This window comes from Homo sapiens, chromosome 1, assembly GCF_000001405.40.
Source record: "Homo sapiens chromosome 1, GRCh38.p14 Primary Assembly".
Lineage (NCBI taxonomy): Eukaryota > Metazoa > Chordata > Mammalia > Primates > Hominidae > Homo > Homo sapiens.
In genome coordinates this window covers 70,240,784-70,268,015 of record NC_000001.11, presented here as the reverse complement: position 1 = coordinate 70,268,015, position 27,232 = coordinate 70,240,784, and the positions used below count along the sequence as shown (strand labels likewise).

Here is a 27,232-nt window from a genome sequence, read left to right as displayed (position 1 = left end):
GCACTTGCTTTAATCTTTGCTTTTCACAGCCAAGCTATTTGAAAGCCTACTTTTGTCTCTCTATTCTTACTTTCTATTTACAATTATATTTTAAATGGGGGAAGGTATAGGGACATGAAGGGAGATAAGTTTACTTCACTTGAGTTGGTAAAATTATGACACCGGGAAATTGTGATACAGACACACACACACATACACACAATAATGTATACCTAGAGCAGCCACTATAGAAGCTGTAAAAAGAGATAACTCAAAAACACCATAGATAAATTAAAATGAAATTCTAAAAAATAGGTAACCTAAGGATGGCAAGAAAAAGAAAACAGAGAAATGAAGAACAGAGAGAATGAACAGAAAACAAAAAATAAAATAGCAGACCTAAGCCCTAACATATTAATAATACCATTAAATGTAAATGGTCTAAATATACCAATTAAAAGATAGTGATTGGTAAAGTGGATTAAAAAACATGATCCAGGCTGGGTGCAGTGGCTCATCCCTGTAATCCCAGCTACTTGGGAGGCTGAGGTGGGAGAATTGCTTAAACTTAGGAGGCTGACGGAAGTTGCAGTGAGCCAAGATCGCGCCACTGTACTCATTCCAGCCTGGGTGACAGAGCAGGATTGTTTCAATAAAAAAACAAAACAAAACAAAAACCATGATCCAATTGTCTGCTATTTTCAGTAAACTCACTTGAAATATAATGATATAGGCCGATTAGAAGTGAAAGAGTGGAAAAAGATATATCATGCAAACACTAATCAAAGGAAAACAGGATTGGCCATATTAAAATTAAGGCAGATATCAGAGCAAAGAAAATTATTAGAGACAGAGAGGGACATTATTTAGTGATAAAAGGGTCAATCTATGAAGAAGATGTGACCATTCTAAATGTATATATACCAAGTAACAGAGTTGCAAGATAGATGAAACAAAAATTGAAAGAATGGAAAGGAAAAATAGATCCACAATTATAACTGGAGACTCAACACCCTTCTCTCAACAATTGATATAACAACAGACAGAAAATTTGCAAGGATGTAGATCAACAACATCATAAGCCAAAGGATTTAATTGGCATTTATAGAATACTCTACCCAACAACAGCAGAATACACATACATTTCAAGTGCCCATGGAACATATACCAAGGTAGACCATATTGGCTATAAACAAACCTGAATATATATAAAAGAACCGAAAATCATACCGAGTGTGTTCTCTGATTACAATGGAATTAAACTAGGAATTAATATTAGAAAAAAGACAAGAGAATGTCCAAACACTTGGAAACTTAAAGAGCACTCTTCTAAATAATCTATATGTCAAAGGGAAGTCTCAAAGGAAATAAAACAATAAATTGAACTGAATGAAAATGAAATTGCAACATATCAAAATTTGTGGAACATAGCTAAAGCAGTGCTGAGAGACAACTCCCAGCAAGATATTTTTATAGACATAGGCAAGATTATTTTAAAATTTGGATGGAAAGGCAAAGAACCTAGAATAGCTGTATTAGTTTGCTAGGCATTTAGATCAGACAAATGAAGAGTATGTTCACACACACACAAAAAGTACACAAATGTTTATTTTATATCAGCTTTATTTGTAATAGCCAAAAACTACAATTTGCAACAGGTAAATGAACAATGATACACCTATACCGTGGGATATACTATTCACCAATAAAAAGATTGAACTGCTAATACATGAAACAACCTGGATGAATTGCTTGAGAATTATACTGAGTAGAAAAAAGCCAATCCCAAAAATTAGATACTGTATGATTCCATTTATATAAAGTATTCGAAGTGAAAACAACTGTGGCAGTGAACAGTTGAGTGGATGCCAGGGACTACAGAAGGGGTGAGGCATAAGAGAAGCAATTGTGGCTATAAAAGGGCAACACTGTGGGATCCAACATGAGGACAACATGTGGTTATGGAAATATTCATCATGTTTTACTATACTGTCAATATCCTGATTTTTATGTTGTATTATTTGTAAGATGTTAAAGTTGGATAAAATTGAATAAAGGCTACAGGAAATCTCCCTTGCTTCCTCCTTCCTTCCTTCTTCCCTCCCTTCCTCCCTCTCTCTTTCCTTCCGTCCTCTTTCCCTCCCTCCATTCCTTCCTTCCTTCCTTCTTCTTTTCTTTTCTTTTCTTTTTTTTTTTTTTTTTTTTTTTTTTTGAGGCAAGGTCTGACACTGTTGCACAGGCTAGAATGCAGTGGCATGATCTCGGCTCACTGCAACTTCTGCTTACCAGTCTCAAGCCATCCTTCCACCTCAGCCTCCCAAGTAGCTGGGACCACAGACATGAGCCACCACACCCAGTTAATTTTTGTATTTGTCGTACAGATGGGGTCTCAACACTTTGTTGCCCGGGCTGGTCTCAAACTCCTGAGTTCAAGTGATTTATCCACCTTGGCCTCCCAAAGTACTGGGATTACAGGTGTCAGCCACTGTGCCTGGCCTGTATTATTTCTTAAAATTGCTTGTGAATCTGTAATTGTCTCAAAATAAAAAGCATATTCACTTCCTTAGTTCATTACAGATTCTCTCTTCCTGTTTATTTATTATTGATCCTTATTGTTAAATGTAGTAGAAACTTTTCTGTTTTTATACTAATCTCTTCAAGATTTGACTTTTCTTATTTTGAAGTCCTTGGCTCAATGAATAACTGAGACAAGTCATTGCATTTTCCTCTGACTTCTTTGATAGACTCTCTCTTGGTTTTCTTCCTCCCTCTCTGGCTGCTCCTTCTGGAGCACATCTCCCTCTTCACTCTTGTCACCTTGTATTATATTCTCACTACATCTGCCAAAACTCCAGTTATAGTACTACCCCGGTCACACCCTTCCGTTGGCTTTCCACCTGATCCAGAATAAAAGCTGGTCTTTTTTTTGGCCTAAACTCCACCTGATCTGGCAGCCTATTTCCCCTCTGACCTCATCGCCTGCTAATCTTCCTCTCATTCATTTGGCTGCAGCCACATTGGCCTCCTGGCTGTTCCGAGATTAAACCAGATACTTCCTTTGAGGGCTTTTGTACTTCGTGTTCTTCTATTTGGAATTTTCGTCCTCCAGGCAACTGCATGGTTTGTTCTTATCTCAGGTCTTTACTGAAAAGTCCCTTCATTGAGGTTTTCCTTTGGCCACCCTATTCAACAGCTCGTACCCCCAACACTGAGACTCCCTATTCTACTGTCATGCTTTATTTTTTTCTAGATAGTCATCATCATTTATTTGTTGTCTGACCCTCCCAACCAGTGTAATCTCTATAATTGCATGAATTTTGTTTCTTATTTAGTGATGTGTATCCAAAACCTAGAACGGGGTCAGCAAACTTTGTCTGAAAGATAATAAATATCTTAGGCTTTGTGGGCTCTATGGTTTCTGTCACAACTACTCTTTTTGGAGAATGAGAGAAGCCATAGATAGTAAGTAAATGAGTGGGCATGTTGTGTTCCAAAAAAGCTGTTTACAGACACTGAAGTTTGACTTTCATGTAATTTTTTTTTTTTTTTTTTTTTTTTTTTGAGATAGAGTCTTGCTCTGTTCCCCAGGCTCTAGTGTAGTGGCGCAATCTTGGCTCACTGCAACCTCCGCCTCCTGGGTTCAAGCGATTCTCCCGCCTCAGCCTTCTGAGTAGCTGGGATTATAGGCACCCGCCACCACACCCAGCTAATTTTTGTATTTTTGTTAGAGATGGGGTTTCACCATGTTGGCCAGGCTGGTCTCAAACTCCTGACCTCAAGTGATCCACCTGTCTCAGCCTCCCAAAGTGCTGGGATTACAGGCGTGAGCCACCACGCCCAGCCTAATTTTCACTTCATGAAATACTATTCTTTTTTTTCCCTAAACATTTAAAAATGTAAAATACTTTCTTAGCTTATGGGCCCTACCAAAATAGGCCTGGCAATAGGACTTAGTGTACAGACCCCTGGATTAGGATAGCATCTGCATATAGTAGGTACAAAGGAATAATTTTTTCCCCCAGAAATAACTGGAAACTCTATAATTGTTATGTTGATTATTGTGTTTAAATCTAATTAAGGTATTTTGTTTTCCTTTTTACATAAGAACATAACTTTCTGCAATAAAATACTAGCTTATATCAGTTAGACTTAATTTACTCTGTGCCCTTACCCTAGGTAGACACTTGAATTAGCTTTCATATACTCATTTCAGAGTTTTTTTAAAAATGATTTATTATTATTATTTTAAATAGAGACAGGGTCTCCCTATGTTGCCCATGCTGGTTTTGAACTCCTGGGCTCAAGTGATCCTCCTGCCTTGTCCTCCCAAAATATTGGGATTATAGGTGTGAGCCACCACACCCAACCTCATTTCAGAGTTTTAAGGGAATTTCAGAGTTTCTTTATTTTACATATGAAATCCCTGAGGCTCATGAGTAAAATGATTTATAGGAATCTGAATCCAGGCTTTATGATTTGTACTCATGTCAGTAACTCATATGAGGAATAAAACTAAACATTTAATTTAATGTGTATTTGTTCATTTTATTTATTTTACTCTTTCTGATTCTTATGTAATCATTAACTTGCTCATTTTAATTGCTAGATTTTACTTAAACAATTTCAGCTAGAAATATATTTCATTTGGAAGATTAGGCTGTGGTGGTATGATATTTTTCCATTTCTGATGAGACTGTTTTTATCCCACACATTTAAGTGATAGGTTGTTTTTAATGTTTTAAAACAGAAAAGGATTAGAGTATTTTACTTGGGCTAGTAAGAATGAAAATAAATCAGCTCAAAGAGTCAGAATAGTAAATATACTATAATCTGAAGAGAAAAAAGTCAGAATGCAAAAAGCACAAAAGTAGCTGTCCCTCTGCCCCAAGAAAAAGAAAAAAAGACTGGTAGAATCTGGCATTATATTCTTAAGACTAGGAAGGCATGGGATCTTGAGTTTTCAATATAATGCTGGATGCCTGAATGTCTTTTTCTCCTCACTAATCAATACCCAGAACTCTCCCTGAAACACACACTCAGTACTACATATATTTGAATTCTTCTGGTTCTTGAGTATTTTTTTTTTTTTTTTTACATTTTAAGGAGTATGGACATCTCCAATAGTACTTTGTAGTCTATGAATATTAACATTTGATTTTACAATGCTATCATTGATGTTCTCTCTGTAGATATACCTGTGTTTCCCACAATCACAGCCACTGTGACTTTTCAGGAGTTTCGATACGATGAATTTGATGGCTCCATCTTTACTATACCTGATGACTACAAGGAAGACCCAAGCCGTTTTCCTGATCTTTAACTGACGTGGAAAAGGATGCCGTCTAACCAAGGAAAGAAAATACAGAGACCCTAGAAGTGGATCCAAATAGAAGGGACAAATGCTTTCAGTGAAGAAAAGGGAATTACACATTGAATCGACACATCAGTAATACGATACAGTGAAATGGGCCTCTAATAAGAATTTCAGCGAGTTTTCTGATGTGCCATTTTTTGTCTTTTTAAAAATATACATATTATAAATGTAATAGTTTGACACATTAATGACCCTAAGACCTGCGTATGTGAAGCAGCTATGAGTGCTGTGATTTGTTTTTAAAAATTTTTACACTTCTTGTTGAAATATATATGCATATAAATATATCTATATCTATATCTATATCTAAAACACTCCTGGACCATTAACGTAAATTAAATGTCTTAAGAGATATGGAGCCCTTTTAAACTTGTCATCTTTATGCAAGGTGACATTTATAAATATTCCTTCGAGCTTTGTTTTCATAAAATGTAAACTATGTAACATTATGTATAGTTCAGTAATTTGAATGTTTGTTCAATATAATGAACTAGAAGGAATGCAATTTTCTGTAGATGAATGAACCAAATGGTAACCATTAAACAATTGCATTTATATGTTGCAATACATTTCAGAAGGAGCGTTCACTCTGCAGGGAATAAGGTACCTCCTTTAGCACCTTAGTGCAATTCATTGTGGTGCTATTTGTTTTTACCTGAATGTTTGTTACTAATCTTCCTTTCATAGAACCTCTATTTTTTTTTTTTCTAAACTTGAGTTTGAGTCCTTGTTATGGTCATCATAAGGTAATGGTTAGCATGTTTAAAGATATTCCTCTTCCAAATCTCAGCACTTTAAAAAAAAATCCAAATTTTTAAACTTGCTTCCTAATAAGTACACATCGGTCTGATTATTTTGTTTGTTTTTAGTAGAATATGGATGCATTGGTGTCAGTTTTAAAAAACAATACACATATTTTGGACAACCCTACATATTTAATCCTTTCAAAATAAGATAAAAACATTTTATATGCTAACAGAATATATTTGTTACAAGTTAAAGTCCAGAAGTATACACAAGATTGATTACTCCTATTATTTTTTTTAAATCACAGGAAAATATTGATTTCATTGTCTCCAAAGTGATAAAATCATGTATTACTCATTTTTGCACTTAAAATTTTTCTTATTTATTCCAAGGTGGTTTGAAGGTCCAAGTATGAAAATAAATTAGGGGGATTAATGTATAACAGTTATAAAGTATCATGTTGTATTAAAGAGCTTACTTAGATTGATGTTTTTAAAATGTATCCTGATGAATGTCTCAAGAATGCATCTGTCAAGTTTTTTAGACTGACCAGTAGCTTAAACTTTTTTCAGGATTTTAGGTAATTTGAAAGGAGTTTAGAGACCCTTATTGAAAATATGATTTAAAAATCCAAAGCATAAACCGTAAGAAAAATTTTAAATAAACATCTTTAAAGCTGCATCTTCCATACTGATACATGCATTGCGTATGTTGACATTAAATACATTTTATAATGAAGAAAAATAATCATAGTAAAAAATTGAAAGACCTAATTACTACGTTACATGGACCTATTGAATTTTGGGGGAACGTGTTAGTAAACCCAGACTAGCTTTGTTGAATAGAAGTTGATCGCTGTTATTTAGGAAATGGGTAGATCAAATGACTTAGAGACTGAATTATCCTATCAGTGGTTACATGGGGTTGGAGACACTGAAAGGCAGTGATCACTGTTGCTTCTAGGCTCCCTTACTTTGTAGGAATATGGTATACTTTCAGGAATATGCTATATATGTTTTCATAAGTACAGACACCTTAGGGAAGAAAAAAAGTGGGTAATTGAAGCTTATGGTTGATTAATTTCCTAACAGCACAGCTATGAATATTTTGCTGGGGTACACTGGAGGTAGGAAGACTACTGGAAATTTTTGCACTTGAATTTTGTTTTTAAAGCTTTTTTCTTTAAAGAATGGTAGAAACAGATTATCCATTCCAAAATGTCTTTTCTCTGATCACAAAGAGCAAACAAATGTCAATATCTCTTATGATGGTGAAAAAAAGGAATTAATCGATGCAAATAAACTTTTCACAGTATTACTTTTAATGAAGATTTTTCGAAATGTGCCTTTTAATCCAGTTAATGAATGAAGCTATATGCAGTGTTTCAAATGAATAAGTCAAAACACCATATGTTTTCATAATACCACATGAAAAATCAAGATTTTGCAATGTAGGTACACAAAATTCTATATGTTCTTCTCCATTTGTGATTTTGAAACTGTTTAAATTGGTAGGGGGACAATCGTATAGTCATCTTCAATAGCCATTTAGAAATGGTTAATATTCTTGCCCACTGGTATGGTATCCAGAGAAGATATGGTTTCCATCTTTGAGAAAATAATTCTCTGATGAGACAATTTGCCCTCTGTAGATATTCACATACAGAGAATTGCCAAACTTCATAAAAGGGTAGTATGAAGTAGATGCCCTGATTTTTGTGAGTATAAGAAGTACAGATGATGGTTTGGAAACTGTCACATCTGTCTGCTGATACATGTTAGTAGATGAAAAACTGTTTCCTTCTGCTCAGAACTGGAATTAAGCCCCACTCATGCTAATAAAAATGGGTTTTTATAGTAGTATTCACATACAGTTTATTATTCACACACTGGGGGAGGGTGATGAATAATGATTATTTAATGAGCCCTCTTCCTAGTTTTCCCTAAGTCTGCAGAAGACAAAGATCCTGTTTCCAGGCCATGAAAGGACTGAAGTAAATATTGTAAATAAGTACAGCTGACCCTTGAACAACATGGAGGTTAGGGGTTCAGTTGAAAATCTGCATGTAAGTGGACCTGTGCAGTCCAAACCTGTGTTTAACTGCTGAATTAAAGGTGCTTCCTTCTGCTCATTGATATTACCCATATTTACAAACATGCTAGAGAAAAGCAACTGGTGTAAAACTTGCCCCCACTAGAGAAATGGACAGGAGGTATTAAGTCACTTGTAAAGATAGATAGCAGAACTAAGCTTGGTAAAAGCCCATGATTGTTTGTATACTATAAATTAGCCAAAACTACTCTTGCAAAGCATTTTATGTCAGAAATCTGGGGCAATAGTAACTAACTCTGGTTGCCACCTAAAAATTTCATAACATGTTAAGAATCACATTTTTTACATCATGCAAACCATCCTTACAGAGTGAGCTTACCTTGTGATGAGCTTTTTAATTGTTACAGTTCATTTTAGAAGAGTAATACTTTCAGTCATAATGGTACCTATGGTACATAGAATTACAATTTTGCTTTTTCCACACACTGAAAAATATTGAAGCAAAATCTTAAGAACTTCTAAGAAAGGTGCTTGTTAATCATTCTTGGTTTTCATCATGTTTTGCGGTGAAAATGACTTTAATTAGAGTAGAAATATTGTCTAACATAAAACCAAAAAGATAAAACCCACCACTTATTTACCTGTACCTCCCATACATAGAGTTCTTGATGACTAAAGAAGGATGACAGTAATTGGGATGTTCTAAATACAGTTGTGTGTCACTTAATGATGGGTACATGTTCTGTGGAATGCATCAGGTGATTTTGTCATTGTGAGAACCATATTGGGTGTACTTACACAAACCTAGGTGGTATAGCATACCACTCACCTAGACTATACAATAAAGCCTATTGCTCCGAGACCACAAGCTGGTTCAGCATATTACTGTTCAGCGTATTATTGTACTGAGTACTGTGGGCAATTTTAACACAATTTGTGCATTACACAAATTGTACTTACATTATATTTGTGTATCTAGACATAGAAAAACTACAGTAAGAAAATGATACAGAAAGATAAAAAATGGTACACTTGTATAGGGCACTTAGCATAAATGGAACTTGCAGGACTGGAAATTGCTCTAGGTGAGCCAGTGAGAGAGTAGTGAGTGAATGTGAAGGCCTAGGACATTACCGTGCACTCCTGTAGACTTCATAAACATACAGTTAAGCTACGCTAGATATATTTTTTAAATTTCTTTTAATAATAAATTAACCTTAGTTTACTATAACTTTTTACTTTGTAAGTTTTTAAATTTATTTATTTATGTATTTATTTTATATACATTTTTTGAGACGGAGTCTTTCTCCGTCACCCAGGCTGGAGTGCAGTGGCGCAATCTTGGGTCACTGCAACCTCCACCTCCCGAGTTTAAGCAATCCTCCTGTCTCAGCCTCCCAAGTAGCTGGGACTACAGGCACCTGTCACCACGCCTGGCTAATTTTTGTATTTTTAGTAGAGACGGGGGGTTTCACCTTGTTGGTCAGGCTGGTCTTGAACTCCTGACCTCAGGTGATCCACCCGCCTCAGCCTCCCAAAGTGCTTTAAATTTTTAAACTGACTCTTGTAATAACACTTCACTTAAAACACATTGTACAGCTATACACAAATATTCTTTCTTCATATCCTTATTCTGTGAGCTTTTTTCTATTTAATAAAATTTGTTTTTACTTTTTAACCTTTTTTGGTCTGTTTTTTGAGACAGAGTCTCTGTCGCTGAAGTGCAATGCTGCGATCTTGGCTCACCGCAACCTCTGCCTCCTGTGTTCAAGTGATTCTCCTGCCTCAGCCTCCCAAGTAGCTGCGACTATAGGCGCATGCCACCATGCCCAGCTAATTTTTGTATTTTTAGTAGAGACGGGGTTTCACTGTGTTGGCCAGGATGGTGTCGATCTCTTGACCTCGTGATCCACTGGCCTCGGACTCCCAGTGCTCAGATTACAGGCATCAGCCACCGCGCCTGGCCTTACTTTTTAACCTTTTTCAAAAAAAAAAAAACTAAAACACACACATTATGCTAGGCTTACACAGGGTCAGAATCATCAATGTCACTGTCTTCCGCCTCCACATCTTGTCCCACCGGAAGGTCTTAAGGGGCAATAACATGCATGGAGCTGTCATCTGCTGTGATGACAATACCTCCTGGAATGCCTCCTGCAGGACCTGCCTGGGGTTGTTTTTCAGGTAACTTTTTTTTTAATAAGAACACACATACTGCAACAATAAATAGTAAATACATAAACCAGTAATAATTTATTACCAAGTATTATGTATGGTACATAATTGTATGTACTATACTTTTTTTTTTTTTTTTTTTTGAGACTGAGTCTTGCTCTGTTGCCCAGGCTGGAGTGCAGTGGCACGATCTAGGCTCACTGCAAGCTCCGCCTCCCGGGTTCACACCATTCTCCTGCCTCAGCCTCCCGAGTAGCTGGGACTACAGGCACCGCCACCACGCCGGGCTAATTTTTTCTATTTTTAGTAGAGACGGTGTTTCACCGTGCTAGCCAGGTTGGTCTCGGTCTCCTGACCTCGTGATCTGCCCGCCTCAGCCTCCCAAAGTGCTGGGACTACAGGCGTGAGCCACCGCGCCCGGCCGTATGTACTATACTTTTATACAACTGACAGCAGAGTATGTTTGTATACACCAGCATCACCACAAACACATAATGCACTGGGCTAGGATGTTATAATGGCTACGATGTCTCTAGGTAATAGGAATTTTTCAGCTCCTTTATAATCTTTTGAGACTGCGATCCTATATGCAGTCGATTGTTGACCAAAACGAGGCAACATTATGCAATGCATGACTAATGAATATGGATAATGTAGGAGTTTTGGAGGGCTGAAGTGAAACAAATTTTGTAGCTCATACACATTGTGGCTTATCTGCTGCTCCTTTGGGATGAGGCTGCAGTTGGGCCTGCAGTTGTTCCACTGTCCCCAAATCCTCCTTCAGCTTCTCAGACTCATGGGCCAGCTATATTTTGCTCCATGATAAAGAGTCCTGGCTTTGGAAGGACATCCATGCCACCAAGGTCAGAAGCAGCGAGATCTGACCAGAGTGTCAGTCCATGTTTGTGGTTCTAGCTTGTGCTTGTGGCTAGTTCCAGCTTATTCCTAGTGCCACCATCCCTCCCTCAATCATTCACCTTTGCTTTCCAACTGCCTAAAATGAACTTCAACCTCCAGCATCAGATGCAAAGATGAAGCCTTACAAACTGCTTAACTAGGTCTCACCATTGTTGATGTCATATCTGTTAAAAAGTATATCTTCTAGTGGTTCTGCTTCTCTGAATCCTGATTGATATATTAATTTTGTGGAAAGATAAAAATGTTCTTAATCTACTTGATGCTTGTCTTCCAAAATTTGGTATTTAAATGAACAAAATTTTTTTTTTTTTTGAGACGGAGTCTCGCTCTGTCTCCCATGCTGGAGTGCAGTGGCGCGATCTCGGTTCACTGCAAGCTCCGCCTCCCGGGTTCACGCCATTCTCCTGCCTCAGCCTCTCTAGTAGCTGGGACTACAGGCGCCCACCACCACGCCCGGCTAATTTTTTGTATTTTTAGTAGAGACCGGGTTTCACCGTGTTAGTCAGGATGGTCTCGATCTCCTGACCTCGTGATCTGCCTGCCTTGGCCTCCCAAAGTGCTGGTATTACAGGCCTCTGAGCCATCGCGCCCGGCCTAAATGAACACATTTTAACTTTGCCAATTTAGTGAATAAAAAAGCAGTTTTTACATTTAACATAACGTCAAAATTACATTTAGTATATTTGCAGAAAGCACAACCATTTTTTTTTTTTTTTGAGACAGTCTGTCGCTTTGCCTGGAGTGCAGTGGTGCAATCTTGGGTCACTGCAACCTCCGCTTCCCGGGCTCAAGCAATCCTCCCACCGCAACCTCCCAGGTAGCTGGGAGTACAAGTCCGTGCCACCATGCCTGGCTAATTTTCGTATTTTTTTTTTTTTTTAAGACACAGGGTTTTACAATGTTGTCCAGGCTGGTCTTGAATTCTTGGGCTCAAGCAATCTGCCTGCCTGGGCCTTCCAAAATGCTGGGATTACAGGTGTGAGGTACCATGCCCGTCAGAAAATAACTTTTTTGAGATGGAGTTTCGCTCTGTCGCCCAGGCTGGAGGGCAGTGGCGCGATATTGGCTCACTGCAAGCTCCGCCTCCTGGGTTCATGCCATTCTCCTGCCTCAGTCTCCCCAGTGCTGGGACTACAGGCGCCTGAGACCACTCCCGGCTAATTTTTTTGTGTTTTTAGTAGAGACGGGGTTTCACTGTGTTAGCCAGGATGGTCTCAATCTCCCGACCTCGTGATCTGCCGGCCTCGGCCTCCCAAAGTGCTGGGATTACAGGCGTGAGCCACCGCGCCCTGCTAGAAAGTAATTTTTTAAATTACATTTTGGGATAACTGAACGTGAATGATATTAAACATCATTTGGAACATTCTATTTTTTGTGACCCTAGACCTTCAATTTCTCATGCGCAAACCATATTTTGGCAAACTAGCTTTTTATTTTTATTTATTTTTTGAGACAGAATCTCGCTCTGTCACCCAGGCTGGAGTGCAGTGGAGTGGGGTGGCGTGATCTTGGCTCACTGCAACTTCCGCCTCCTGAGTGCAAGCGATTCTCCTGCCTCAGCCTGCCAAGTAGCCGGGATTACAGGTATGCACCACCATACCCGGCTAATTTTGTATTTTTAGTAGAGATGGTTTCACCATGTTGGCCAGGATGATCTCGAACTCCTTACCTCAAGGGATCCACCCACCTCAGCCTCCCAAAGTGCTGGGATTACAGGCGTGAGCCACCGCACCCAGCCCTAACTAGCTTTTTTTTTAAAAAAGACATCATGGTACTAATTTTAGTGACAGTGCATTGCAAAAATAACCTTTAATAAATTGAGAAATCTGAGAATGATGTGAATGTGTCACTTCCATTATTTTTGTAAGAACATTTTATTGGTCACCTAGAAATATTAGTCATATCAGACTGTAAATTGTCTTAAGACTGCTAAACATCGGCCGGGCACGGTGGCTCATGCCTGTAATCCCAGCACTTTGGGAGGCGGATCACGAGGTCAGGAGACAGAGACCATCCTGGTCAACATGGTGAAACCCCGTCTCGCGTAAAATTACAAAAATTAGCTGGGCATGGTAGTGCATGCCTGTAGTCCCAGCTACTCGGGAGGCTGAGGCAGGAGAGTTGCTTGAACCCGGGAGGCGGAGGTTTCAGTGAGCCAAGATTGCATCACTGCCCTCCAGCCTGGCGACGACCATGACAGAACGAAACTCCGTCACACACACACACACACACACACACACACACACACACACACACACACGATTGCTAACCATCTTCTATGATAAACCTTAAGTATATTCTAAAGAATATTACCACTGATAAAAGAATTGTCATGGTACTCACCTAAGATATTTTGCTAAGAATGTCTAAATAAATTTCACATATACTTTGACATAAAATGAAAATGGGAATAGAAACAAAACTGAGTAAAACAGGTTGAAATTCAAAATATCTACCACTCCAAAAATTGTCTCATTGAGAAATTTATAAAGGTACAATTACTACTTCTGCTAATAAAACCTTAATAGACATTCTGAATGCTTTTAAAAGTATGAGTAACAATTCCATTACACCCATATTTAATTAAAACACAACCACATGTACTTGATTAGAAAAAATAGAAGCACAGGGATGAAATGCATTAGCTGGTTTTGAGGCAGACTGAGGGAAAAGAAATCTCAATTCCATTTGAAAAGATGTGTATCAATCTACAAACAGCATGCATGGATCCAACCCTTCATCTAGTGCCCAACTGAGTGATAATTTTGCTAGAGATAAATTTGATGTATTAATACTGTAATCTGCATGACATAAGCTGTATAATGCACACTCCAGAACCTGACTCAGTTTTAAGATGTAGCTCCAAGGTTAACAGTAATTTTTATCCTCTCCTTCCTTTTCCCAAGTGCCTATTTGCATTTTTCTGTCTTCCATGTATAGAATTGCCACGAGGAAACTTACCTAAGATCCATCTTCATGAAAACAGTTAAGGGCAACACAGCCTTTTCAATAAAAGGTATGCAATTTATTTTGTGCTTTTAACATTACCCCCTACACAAATTATTAGTTACATAACTTTTAAGGGCCCCATAATCAAATAGCAGCTATCATTTAATGTCCCAGGCACCAAAGGCTACATTTTAAAAATTACTGTTTTACAGATACAGATGGGGTCTTGCTATTACCCAACCTGGAGCGCAGTGGCATGATCATAGTTCACTGCAGCCCCAACTCCTTGGGTTCAAAGTGATCCTCCTGCCTCAACCTCCACAGTAGCTAGAACTACAGGTGTGCACCACCACACCTGGCTATTTATTTTTTTGTAGACAGTGTCTTGCTATGTTGCCTAGGCTGGTCCTGGGCTCAAGCACTCCTGCCTTGGCCTCCCAAAGTGTTGGGATTACAGGCATGAGCCATAGTGCCCAGCCAACAACTTTTATATGCACTGGGAAGCCAAAAAAATTCATGAACTGCTTTATTGTAGTCTGGAACTAAACCCACAATACCTCCGAGGTATGTCTGTACTTTGCAAGGTAGCAATCACTTCCATTTTACCCGTAGGAAACTGAAGGTAAGGAACACAGTTATCTCCAGCTCTATGAAATAAAGACCAAATGCATGACTGGACTCTTATCTTTCCATTTAAAAAAGCTCATTGTATAGCTACCACCTCTCGTTCACTCCTAAAGGATTTAAGCAAATAAATAAGGACAAAACATTTTTCTAACAAAAACCACTTTTATTTTTAAATCAATTTACTATCAAATACACAACAGAACTCGGTGTGGAGGCAGTGTTTGATTTCAACTGGTTATCTGTTAAAAGGCTTGTGTCCCAGTGCAACACTACCTTTGTGCAGAAAATGTTCACTGAAAATAAATATCCTAAGAATGGATAATCTTCACTGTAGCATCTTGTCAGTGGCACTACTTTTAAAAAAATGATTCCCTTTAGAAAAGCTAGTATATTTGTATTCAGAGATTACAAGTGAGGGAACACACTGTGAATATTAGGTTTACCATATGTGAAATTTGTTTTTGACTTACAAAAATGCCCATGTCACATGGTTCACCTTTTATCTACTAAAGTTTAAAACAAATGTCATTTGTGTTGAACTTTGTTTTTTAAAAATGCAGTGATTAGGACCATTATTAGAACTTCTTTTACTCACTATAGACAATTCTTTTTGATAAAATCTTTAAAAAGTTACTTACTACAAACTGTAAAAACAATGCTGTTTTTCTATATGGCATTTCAGTTTTTAGGTTAAAAAAAACAAAACAAAACCCTATTTATACTCAAAACTTGGATAAAAGCTACAATTCCAAGTCTCATTTTCCCTTAACCCCAGCCACCCAAACACTACTCATTTCATAAATGAATACTATTTAGTACTGTACAGTAGATACATATTGACAGCTTCTATACTACTCCAGAAAGGCAAATATCTGTATTTCACCGAAAATATAAATTTGCTAGATATAGGTGGGATTTGTTTATACTAAAGTTCATTGCTTTATCCAACCCCATTCCCACACAAAAAATAAGCAATAAAATGATACTAAGCTAAGAAAAGGACTATTTTGGATAGAAATTAAATCATTTTTGACAATTTTGATGGCAATTATCACTACAGTGATAGACTTCCTCTTTTTACTATACTGAAATATGTGGACAGAAAGGGAAAGAATTTGTAAAATGAATGAGGTAAATGTCATACATTCAGTAGCGTAAATAAATACAAATACGGTTTTACAGGAACATGAACATAAGTTTAAGGGTTTTATTATCAAAGTCTTGTAAAACAATTTCAGAAACTGTACATCAACATGGCACAGACTGTAGCCTACTTTTGTTTCTACTGCACAAAAGTGAAGCTTGAAACTTCTGTAACTAAGAAAACAGTTGCCTACTTTGCATATATAACATGAAATCACCGTGTGCATAAGATTACTACTGCAGTAACACAAATTTATTGGTTTTATACAACTTGAGATCAAATAAAGGTACATTATCAAGTAGATTTGTCTTATTTTAAAAGCGTATGAAGGTCAATTTAAAATGCACTACCCCTTTTTTCCAACACGGAGCTTAAAACAAATTAATGAAAGAGTGGAAAATTCAAAATAAGGGCAAGAGATAAGGTTTTTTTCTTTTTTTCCTTTAAGATAGACTCAGGATAGGTAGATAGCTTTCACTGATGTAGATGTGGAATAAATTATTACTTCAGGAAAAAAATTCCCAAACATCTTATGAAAAAGTATACAACTCTACTTCAAAATATGCTATTTACTCACTGCCAAAGACAGTTTTATTTGAAATCTTGTTTCTGTATTTAAACCCTAATTAGCCACCAAAAAAGGTTAGTGCATAATAACCTTTCAAAGTTAAACAAAAGCCACAAAAATTTTGCCACAAGGCTTAAAGGATTATCTATTTCAAATGCTCATTTCCAGATGTAACTATAAGAATGTTAATTTGTCATGTCAACAAACAAGACCATAAGTAGATCCATCATGTTGGAGGATTTTAATGACATTTAGGATATTCTTGCCACAATAACATGCAATCAGTGCATTTCCTACATGGCTCTATTACGGCAATGAATCAAATTATAGAAATACTATAAGTGAACTTACTTAATAAAGGATATCATACGACATAAACAATCCATGCCTGCTGTAGATGCATGCAGCTTTTCATTTTTGTTATGAAGCAGCACCAGAATAGTAAAACTGCTTGGTTACTCAATCAGATTTCACCATGACAAGAATTGGTTACCTCGTACCATTTTCTAAAAGCTTTTTGATGTAAATAACTAATATGAGTAACAGGAGCTTTATAACCATTTATAACTCAGAGCTGTATACATCTAGGTTTGAGATGAACAAATACAGCATTAAGAAATCACACAAAGGAATGACACTGATGCAGGTATACAGTTGGACTCCCTCAGAGGCAATATTCAGTCACTCATATCCATGTCTTCTTCATGATGATCATCCCCATTCACTTTGGATTCTCTTAGTGAATCACCAGTTCCCTTTTCCACAGAACATTCCTTTGTTTTAGGGGAACCTGTTTCTATTGGTTTCTTCTCTTCTTTTTTCTCTTTCTCACTGTCATACCCCTGTTCCTCTTCATCATAATCCCGTGTAACCTGCTTTGCCAAGGAGAATAATAAAAGTAAACTTCTCCAAAGAAAAATAACTTCTGAAAGTACCAACATCACCCCAAATATAAAAATAAATCAATTTGTAAACATACTTTTACATCTTTATCACTCTCTGATTTTCTTTCCCGGTCCTTTTCCTTATCTTTACTCTTCTTCTTCTTGCTTGTTGATCGTTCTCTTTCATCCCTACTTCTTTCTTTGTCTTTATCTTTCTTCTTCTCCTTTTTATGTCTAGAATGACAGTAAAATGTACAGCAACAGGTTTAACTTGTTTAGATGATGAGCCTGACTCAATTTCACAGGATATAAGTAGTACAGCAAAGATCCAACTTCAAAACCTTGGAGAAGTAACACAGGCTACAAAACTAACTTGTTTATAGGACTAAAATGTTCAGTCCTTAATGGTGTTTAAGTCACAAGTCAGAAGGAGAATACATTAAAACATTCTTAAGAACTGTAACTGCTGAAAAGAAAAACTACAGGACAGTTTTAAAATGAAAAACCTCTGAAAAATATAAAAAATACATTTAAATGATTAACATTCTTACCTCCTAGGGGATGGTGAGCGGGACAATTTTCTTTTAGGAGACCGAGGCTTTTTAGGAGATCTTGTGCCACTCCTGCTTCTTCGTCGTCGTCTCTCTCTAGAATCACAAATGTGCAAACTAGGTTTTAAAATACAGTGTGATCTTAAAAATGCAGACACATCATAGATGATTCTAACAATGAAAGATGTGGCCAGATGTAGTGGCTCATGCCTATAATCCCAGCACTTTGGCAGGCTGAGGTGAGGGGATTGCTTGAGCCCAGGAGTTCCAGACCAGCCTGGGCAACATGGTGAAACTCTGTCTCTACAAAAAATACAAAAAAATTAGCCAGGTGTGGTGGTGCATGCCTGTAGTCCCAGCTACTCAGGAGGCAGAGGCAGGAAGATCACTTGAGCCTGCGGAGGTTGAAGCTGGAGTGAGTTGTGATAGGGCCACTGCACTCCAGCCTGGGCAACAGAGAGAGACCCTGTCTCAAAAAAACAGAAAAATGAAAGATTGTTTCACAATACTGGTATAAGCTAAACAATTAAATGAGTAATATAATCATCTGCAAACCATGAATCTTTCCCTTTACTACCCTCAAGAAAACTCCTAATTTCTAGTAATTCTTTTAATTGATGACAAAATGTTAGAAATACTAAGCTTGAGAAAAAACTGATTTAACAAAACTAATGCGAGAGGGGTGACGTGTGAAGTAAACTATTACTGAAGAAGTTAGTTTTTGGTTCAAACATTCAGTGTTCAGAGTAAGTACAGAATAATTCAATAATGTGATATAGAAGGTAGTTACTAATAAAATATCCCCACATTCACCTTTAAATCATTAGATGAAATTCAGAGAACTAGTTAGTGGAAAGGTAGAAACCTTATACTCTAGCAAAATCGCCCTCCTGCAGTCCCCCAAAACCCTGCTTTCACCAATTACTTTGAAGATATACAGCTGATATACAGCCTTCCCCTCCTTTTTACTGTAACTTAAAAAAAAAAATTCTGTTCCTGATTCTCAAAAGTTATCAGACTTAAAAAACCCTGTACTTAGTTGTCTAATTTCCAAATGAAGCTTTTTTTCTACTTACACAGCCCTCTGTGACCCTTGTCCTGGAAACGTTACACATAACTGAGCATTCACTTATCAAACATTGTCACGACTGTGCACCTTATACTTTTTGCTACTGTCTTATGTAACTGAAACTCCAAATTCTCTAGACGGAAGAAGTATTTTATATTACATTTCCGTGTCCTTCAACAGACTGTAGCACAACTACAAACACAGTGGGTATTTAATAACTCACAGAAGATGCCTTAATTTAGAGTGATCCAATAATACAGCATGAGAAGGCACTTACAAGTACATTATATAAAGCAACAGGTAAAAAAAAAAATCCTCAACAGTTTTTAAGGTAAGAAAATATATGTAGTACCTTCCATCTTTTCTATCTCTTTGCCACCTATCCCTCAGGCCTGATTCAGCATTTCCTTCTGTACTTACATTTGGTTTCATTTTCATGCTTAAAAATTTAGTTTTTAAGAAAATTTTCACCACCCCAAAAACTCCCTACCCTTTAGTTATCACTCTAATCCTCCCTATCTCCCCAGCAATCAGTAATCTACTTGGTATCTTTATAGATTTGCCTATTCTGGGCATTTCATATAAAAGGAATCACGCAATACACGGCCTTTCATGGATGTTTGCAAGTTTCATCCATACTGTAGCATGTATCAACCTTATTTATCACTGAAAAATATTCAATTGTATAGATATACCATTCTGTTTATCCATTTGTTAATGGATAGTTAACTTTTTGGCTATTATGAAATAATGCCACAAACATTCACATAAAAGTTTTTCTGTGAAAATGTTTTCATTTTCCCCCAGGGGTACAACTGGTGGGTCAAAAACCTCTATGTTTAACATTTTTAGGAAATGCCAGACTGTTTTCTAAAACACCTGTACCAGTTTATATTCATACTAGCAATGCACAGGGTTCTAATTTCTCCACATCCTAATCAACACTTACTATCATCTGTCAGGCTCAGCTATCATCTGTCTTTTTGATTTATAACCATCCTAGTGACTGTGACATATCTCACTGTGGTCTGGTTTGTATTTCCTTGGTGACTAATGATGTTGAACAGATTTTATGTACTTACTAGATATTTGCATATCTCCTTTGGAGTAATGGCTACAGATTCTTTGCCATTTTTAAATTGGGTTGCCTGTCTATTGCTGAGTTCTAAGAGTTCTTAATAGAGAATATATAAAGAATTTTCTAACTAGCACTCTAGGTTTTTACTTTCTTGATAGTATCCTTTGAAATACAAATGTTTTAACTTTTGGTGAATTCCAAAATTTTCTTTTCTTCTGTTGCTTATGCTTTTGAAGTCATATCTAGGAAACCACCAAGCTCATGGTCTTAAAGATTCACTTTTGTTTCTTTCTAAAGGTTTTATAGTTTTGGCTCTTACATTTAGGTCTTTTATACATTTCAGTTATTTTTTTTTATATGGCATGAACCTTCTCCTAGTGAATTTAAGTAATGTTGATGAATAAAACAAGCACTGCAGCAAAACATGTGAATGAGATCTGAAAAATGGAATGAAGTCCAGCCCTTACTATCATATAAATCCCAAATTAAGTATGAAAATGTGCTTTTTGTGCAGTAAGGTCTGCAACATTTCAATTTTCACTGACAGCTTAAAGATAGAATTAGTCTAAGAATGACACAAACCAGAACCTGCATTGCTTCCCATTAATTCAACAGTCATTAAAAGGGATAGAAAAATTCTCAAGTACTAACATGCAGATGATAAATATAGCTTACTATAATAAGCTTACTTAATGGAACAATTCAGTATGGTTTAGCCATTAAAACTTAAACTATAAAGAGAAAAACTCACCTCTCTTGAATTCCATGTTACTTCAAATATACTCTAGACCATAAAATATTAAGTAAAAAGAAAAATAAACTACATTATTCTTCACAAATTGCCTTTTAAAAACTTTAAATAACAGCAAAATGTAACTTTTTTCAACACTGAAATACTTATGTTCTGGAAAAGACTTCATACTGACAGCGTACTGATACTGTTAGAAGCAAAGTTAAAAAAATAATTGCCAAGAATTCACAATGCCACCTTACCTGCTTGCACTTCTAGAACGTCTGGCTGTGCTGTAACTTTTTGGTGGTGTTTTAGAACGTTTCTTTTCTTTGTCTTCTTTCTTTTTGTCTCTAACAAATGAACACAATTTATGAATGCATTAGAAGACTCAGCTGATGCCAATTTATATAGCACTACAAACACAAAAATATAATCAGATCTAATCCCATCCTTAAAAGCATAAATGTTGTTCTGACAGAAACTGTTTTAAAAATAATACTTTATGTGGCATATTTGAAGTACAATAACTTCTTTTAAAATCCTATTATCCTAGGTTTTCTCCCAAGTAGACTAAAGTAGACTATGGGTGAGAAAATAACTAGGATGTTGGCTTGAAATATACTTGGTAAACACCAATAAGTTAACTATCTCTAGGCTCCTCAAGACTCCTTTTTCTCTCAGCTGATTACCACTTTCCCAACCCACCTCTCCTATCAGGCCAAAACCCATAGAGCACTACCAAAATCCATCAATATCATGAATATTCTTCCAAGACACACATCCCATGTCAACCTCTATCATGGATCAAGCAAGCTTCTTTTTCTGCGGCTATTATGAACTATTCAGGGCTTATTAGAAAATATCAACAGATTTTGACTACAGCCGTAACTCAATTTTTTTTTTTTACAGATTCCTATAAATTTTTACTCCTCACAATATTTTTTCCCCAAGATCATCATTCTCCCCAAGACTCTAAGCAAAGAGTAGATAAACGATATATATTTGTTGAATGAGAAGTCTCATAACAACCCCCCTCTTTAACTATTCTCTAATTTTAAGAATCAAAGTATCCCTCTCTTACTGTTCTAAGCTAATCTTTCCATTCTGCATTCTCAATTTCATTTTTTTCCCTTCTCTGGTCATCCTCGGTTCCCTCTTCATTCAATCTTTATCATTGGTTCCCTCTTCATTTGAATCTTTATCATCTAACTCCTAGATTACTAGAACAGTCCCCTAGTAGGTCCCAGTCATGCCTTCCATAAACTGATTCTGTACTCTGTCAGAAATCTTTTAAAGTACAAACCTGAAAATATTAATTCCCTGTTCACCATTTTCAACTCATTCCAGTTGCCTCCTGGATCAAGTGCATAGTGTGAACAACAAAGCCTTCCACGATCGGTCTCATTATATTTTTCTGACCTCATTTTCTAGTCCAACTACATCAAAATATTGTTATTTCAAGAAACACCATTCTCCACCTGAAAGCATGCCTCCCGTTGAGTCTAGTCAAATCTTTCAGAATTTAATACTCGAGTCATTCTCAAACCTCTTCCAATATCAGCAAGTAGCAATCATCATTTAACAGTTCCTCCCCTGTAATTAAATCCATCACTCTTCTCCTAGTAATCAGAAAGTCCTTAAAGAAATGCTTAATTCCTTTGTATAACTGTTCTATTAATCTACCTTGTTTGATTCACTCTGCAGCACATAAGGACTAAAAGCCCCATTATTACAGGTTTAACAATGATAGTAAAGCTACCCCCACTCTTCTGTTCTCATCAGTTGAGTTTTATGCTTCCCAAGAGTAAGTTATGTTGTGTCCCCAGCTGTACTTACTTTAATGACATGATTTAACTAAATATATAAATGAACAAAATAATGCCAAATATAGAGTTGCTTCTAGAAAATTAAGATAAATATTTTAGCAAGAGATAAAAAGCAGTTGCTAAAAAAATTAAGTGCTGTGAAATTGTATGCCTCACAACTATAAATGACTGGGGGCATACTAATTTAAAAGTGTTTGGTTCTACACGAAAAGACTGGTTTTTGAATATATTTTTAGATGGAAATAAAACGTTACGGTATTTCTTATGAAAGAAGGTAGCAGGACAGCTAACAATTCCTACTACTAAGAAATTTTACTTAGGCCCTCAGCTGTAAGCTGAAGTTTCAGTTTACAAGGAAGCACCAGAAAGCAAACGTCAGCCTCCTCAAACTCAAATATTGACAGTTTCTTCCCCTGTCTAGCCCTATTTCTCTGCCCCGCACCCCAACCACCTCTTTTGTTACTAAGTAGCACAGTACTAGGGGTACTGGGAACCCTAAAATTTGCTTTCTCACCCAATGCTATACCTTGTTTTTGATGTGCTCCTTGACCTTCTACCTCTTTCTCTGGAATGAGATCTTCTCCGCCTTGGGCTTTTGGATCGTCGCCGACTCCTAGACTTAGAATGTGACCGCCGTCTCGATCTGCTTCTTGACCGCCTAATAGTGTAAAAGGAAGCCAATACATGTGTATAAATGTAAAAAGACTATAAATTTTGTGCTTAGTATCAGACAAAAGATTCGGACATATGGACTAAACAATTAAATGGGGGATAATTCCCTTCCATTTGCTATTATTTAGCCCATAGAACAAACACCTTCAACACCTTAGAAATTAGTAATACCTTTTAACACTTGGAATTCCTCACCTTTTAATGATTTGCTCAACCTGTCAGATAGGTCCTTCTATGCCCACTGTACTTACAACTCCAAGGTTAAAAATACTACTAGATCATGAAGGAGAATAAAAGTATGACTTATTTGCATCATCTTATACAATTATATAGCATTTTAGCATGTATTTCTTATTTGATTCCTCATTAGTGCAGCTTAAACCTTCCTCATCATAAATCAAATACTTATATCACGCTATATATAAACTACAAATTGGTCTCGTAAGTCCATAAAGTAAATGCCACTATTATTTCTATTTTATAAAGAGAAACTACTTATTGTGTTGCCATCTCCTATTTCGAATTTTTCTCTGAAACAAATTCCACTCCTTTAATCCACAATTTAGGAAACTCCAGGCAATGCAGACCTTTTACAGATATATACAATTTGTATAAACTGCCTCTTTTACTCTCATTTTTCCCTGACATATCTGTTTCTCTACTCCCTGCACCGAGCCCCCATCCATTGTGTCCTGACCTGGCTCTTCCAGGACTAAGAAGCACAATTAACCTTTAGATGTTGTCATCCTCCCTACTGCATTAAAACTCATTCTCCTCTATCTTTTAAGCGATGGGGTTTTGCCATGTTGCCCAGGATGGTCTTGAACTCCTGGGCTCAAGCCACCAGCCCACCTTGGCCTCCCAGAGTTGGGATTATAGGCATTAACCACCACAACCGGCCCATTCTCTTCTATTTTAAAAATTAAAAATAAGTTGCAATCCTTTGCTTAGTCTTGATCACTTAACTTTTAGTGACCATTCAACTTCTCTCTGTGCAACATTTCAAATATAGTCTAAATTTTCTGCCTACTTTTCTTTTCAAGGTACAAGAAAGAGTATGGACATCTTAAAGACTTGTGTTAAACTCTCATTTATAAGCCAGGTAACTTAAGAGTATTATCTAACCTCTCTGACCTTGTTACTTCAGCAGTCAAGGATAGTAACACCTCTATCACCAAATAATGACAAAGATTAAATGCAGTATATAGAGTCTAGCTCGGTGCCTTAGTGTAGGCACACACAAGTGACCCTTGAATAACATGAGCTTTAACGGCATGGTTCCACCTACACACTGTGTTTTTTTTTTTTTTTTTTTTTTTTTTTTTTTTTTTTTGCCACCAACCAAATGTGGATTAAAAACAGTATTTGAAGGATGAGGAACCCATGTATAGTCAGGACTGAGTTTTCCTATATGTGGATTCCAGAGGACTTGAGTATGCATGGATTCTGGTATAGATGGATTTGTAACCAATCCCCTGCATATACGGAGGGGACTGTACATTAAATATTGATGTCCTTCTTTCCTCTTACTGATGTACTAATATAGCTTCTGTTGCCATAACTCCCTAAAACAACTGCCTCAAAACCCATAGTAATGCCTCAATAAACTATTTGAGTTATTGAACTCAATTAACTTTAATTTTAATCTCTTATTTTCAGCCATATTTGAAACTATTTACTAAACAATTCCTTGCAATAACATCTCCACATCCTAAGATGTTTTTATCTACTTAACTACCCTACCATAGGCTCCACAAAGACATGGGAAGTAAGTCTTTTCATGACTGTATTCTTGAGCAATTACTACACTGCCTGATTTAAATAAAAGGCACCAATAATATACTTTGAATGAAATATAGGCATATAAAATATCAGAATCATAACCTTAAGAGATTAAACAGTTGTTTTCAAAGGGGAATGTACTACCGTCACTTTTCTACACTTACTAGTTCATATGAGCTTTTAACCAGCAAAAGAGATTAGTGTAACATATTTTTAATAAAGTCAAAAAGCTTGTGAAAGTCATGGTCATTTAACACACTATGTGATGCTTGATACTACAACTGGGCTGGACTCAGTGGCTTGTATCTGTCACCCCAGCACTTTGGGAGGCCGAGGTGGGCAAACAGCTCGAGCTCAGGAGTTCGAGACCAGCCTGGGCAACATGGCAAAACCCTGTCTCTACATAAAAAAAAAAGGTGCAAAAATTAGCCAGGTGTGGTGGTGCATGCCTGTAGTCCCAGCTGCTCAGGAGGCTGAGGTGGGAGGATGGCTTGAGCCTGGTGGGGGTGTGGGGTGTGGGGGGTGTGTGTGTGTGGTGAGGGTTACCACAACCCACAACAATGATTTCTGTTACGATGTATTACAAGTATCTGGATTCAGGGACATATTTCACTTCTACTTTTCACTGGTCATAGTAAAGTAATTAATATTAAAATGAGAGAGTCCCAGTAAGATTTAATATAAAGAAAAAGACACAGGCTCTCCCTTTTTTTTTTTTTTTTAAGACGGAGTCTCGCTGTCACCAAGCTGGAGTGCAGTGGCGCCATCCTGGCTCACTGCAATCCCCGCCTCCGGGGTTCAAGCGATTCTCCTGCTTCAGCCTCCTGAGTAGCTGGGATTACAGCTGCGCGCGCCACCACACCCAGCTGATTTTTGTGTTTTTAGGAGAGACGGGGTTTCACTATGTTGGCCAGGCTGGTCTCAATCTCCTGACCTTGTGATCCTCCGCCTCGGCCTCCCCAAGTGCTGGGACTACAGGCGTGAGCCACCCCACCCGGCCCAGGCTCTCCTTTTTCCTAAGAGTTTGGTAAAAGGAAACACATATAAATTGTAGTAATCATGAGGTATATCCTATTGCAGAGGTTAAACTAAACTATGAGAGCACTGTCATGGAAGATTAAGACTGCAAGCATTGTATCTTGAAGAAAGAAAAAGGAGTTCCTCAAAGCGGAAATGGAAGATGTGGAAAAGCATTAGGCAGAAAGGATCATGAGCAGAAACATGAAGACATAAAGAAAATGGTATGTTGAGGCAATTAGTCCTGTAACTTTTGGAGTGGCAAATGACACGTGTAAAAAGATAAACCAGACGGAATAGTAAAGAACCCTGAAAGCCATTCTAAGGTTTTATGTATCACCTTATCAAGGCAATAAGGAACTTCTCAGTATCTGTGACATGATCTGTATTTGGGTTTCTGAAAGACAACTCTAAGAATAAGACAGTGGGATAAGGTGGGTGACAGGGAATAAACAGACATAGCATACAGGATAACCCCTGTAATACTTCAAGAAATGACTTAAAATAAGAAAATGATATTAAAAGATAAAAACAGAGTGAAAAGATCATCTCTGAGACAGAAATGTGACTTTTTAGATATTTTATGATATAAGTGCTTTTAATAGAGACGTGACAAAGTCTAGGATTCAAGTCACACTGCTCTTTCAAAAATCCTGACAATAAATAGGAGAAATGGTTTTATCTAACCCTTGGTAAAAACTAAGGGGTAACGGACACTAAGAAAAGGCAGACAACTGACAGAACTAGGTTCCAGAAGAGATGAAGCCAGGAGTGAAGGTTTAAGAGTCAAGTGGTGAATGGCCGGGCATGGTGGCTCACACCTGTAATCCCAGCACTTTGGGAGGCCAAGGTGGGTGGATCACCTGAGGTCGCGGGTTTGAGATGAGCCTGACCAACATGGAAAAACCCAGTCTCTACTAAAAATACAAAATCAGCCAGGCATGGTGGCACACACCTGTAATCCCAGCTATTCGGGAGGCTGAGGCAGAATTGCTTGAACTCAGGAGGCGGAAGTTGTGGTGAGCCAAGATCGTGCCATTGCACTCCAGGCTGGGCAACAAGAGTGAGACTCCGTCTCAAAAAAAAA

At 37.2% G+C, this 27,232-nt stretch overlaps 2 protein-coding genes across 41 annotated transcripts in view, besides 1 other annotated feature; one reads left to right on the top strand and one right to left on the bottom strand.

The window, feature by feature from the left end:
• Positions 1-9,017, top strand: part of ANKRD13C (ankyrin repeat domain 13C) — a 95,724-nt gene extending 86,707 nt beyond the window's left edge. For 7 of the 9 annotated variants that reach the window (XM_047431282.1, XM_047431278.1, XM_047431276.1 and 4 more), the window contains one exon: positions 5,169-9,017. In XM_047431282.1, coding sequence (XP_047287238.1) covers positions 5,169-5,229 — 61 coding nt within the window. In that variant the 3' untranslated portion in view covers positions 5,230-9,017. The remainder of the gene's footprint in view (positions 1-5,168) is intronic. The other 2 variants (XM_047431277.1, XM_006710929.4) reach the window with 1 other exon arrangement.
• Positions 13,893-14,093: a silencer, noted in NCBI's record as "peak281 fragment used in MPRA reporter construct". NCBI's record gives its function as "represses an SCP1 promoter by STARR-seq MPRAs in K562 erythroleukemia cells {active_cell/tissue: K562}" and the evidence as "EXISTENCE:reporter gene assay evidence [ECO:0000049][PMID:32103011]".
• Positions 14,964-27,232, bottom strand: part of SRSF11 (serine and arginine rich splicing factor 11) — a 47,357-nt gene continuing 35,088 nt past the window's right edge. For 10 of the 32 annotated variants that reach the window (XM_047434524.1, NM_001350607.2, NM_001394402.1 and 7 more), the window contains 5 exons: positions 23,201-23,332; positions 21,109-21,198; positions 17,969-18,064; positions 17,513-17,651; positions 14,964-17,405 (listed from right to left, as the gene is read on the bottom strand). In XM_047434524.1, coding sequence (XP_047290480.1) covers positions 17,211-17,405; positions 17,513-17,651; positions 17,969-18,064; positions 21,109-21,198; positions 23,201-23,332 — 652 coding nt within the window. In that variant the 3' untranslated portion in view covers positions 14,964-17,210. Of the gene's footprint in view, positions 17,409-17,512; positions 17,652-17,968; positions 18,086-20,866; positions 20,900-21,108; positions 21,199-23,200; positions 23,333-27,232 lie in introns of those variants that run through there. The other 22 variants (XM_047434523.1, NM_004768.5, NM_001350606.2 and 19 more) reach the window with 5 other exon arrangements.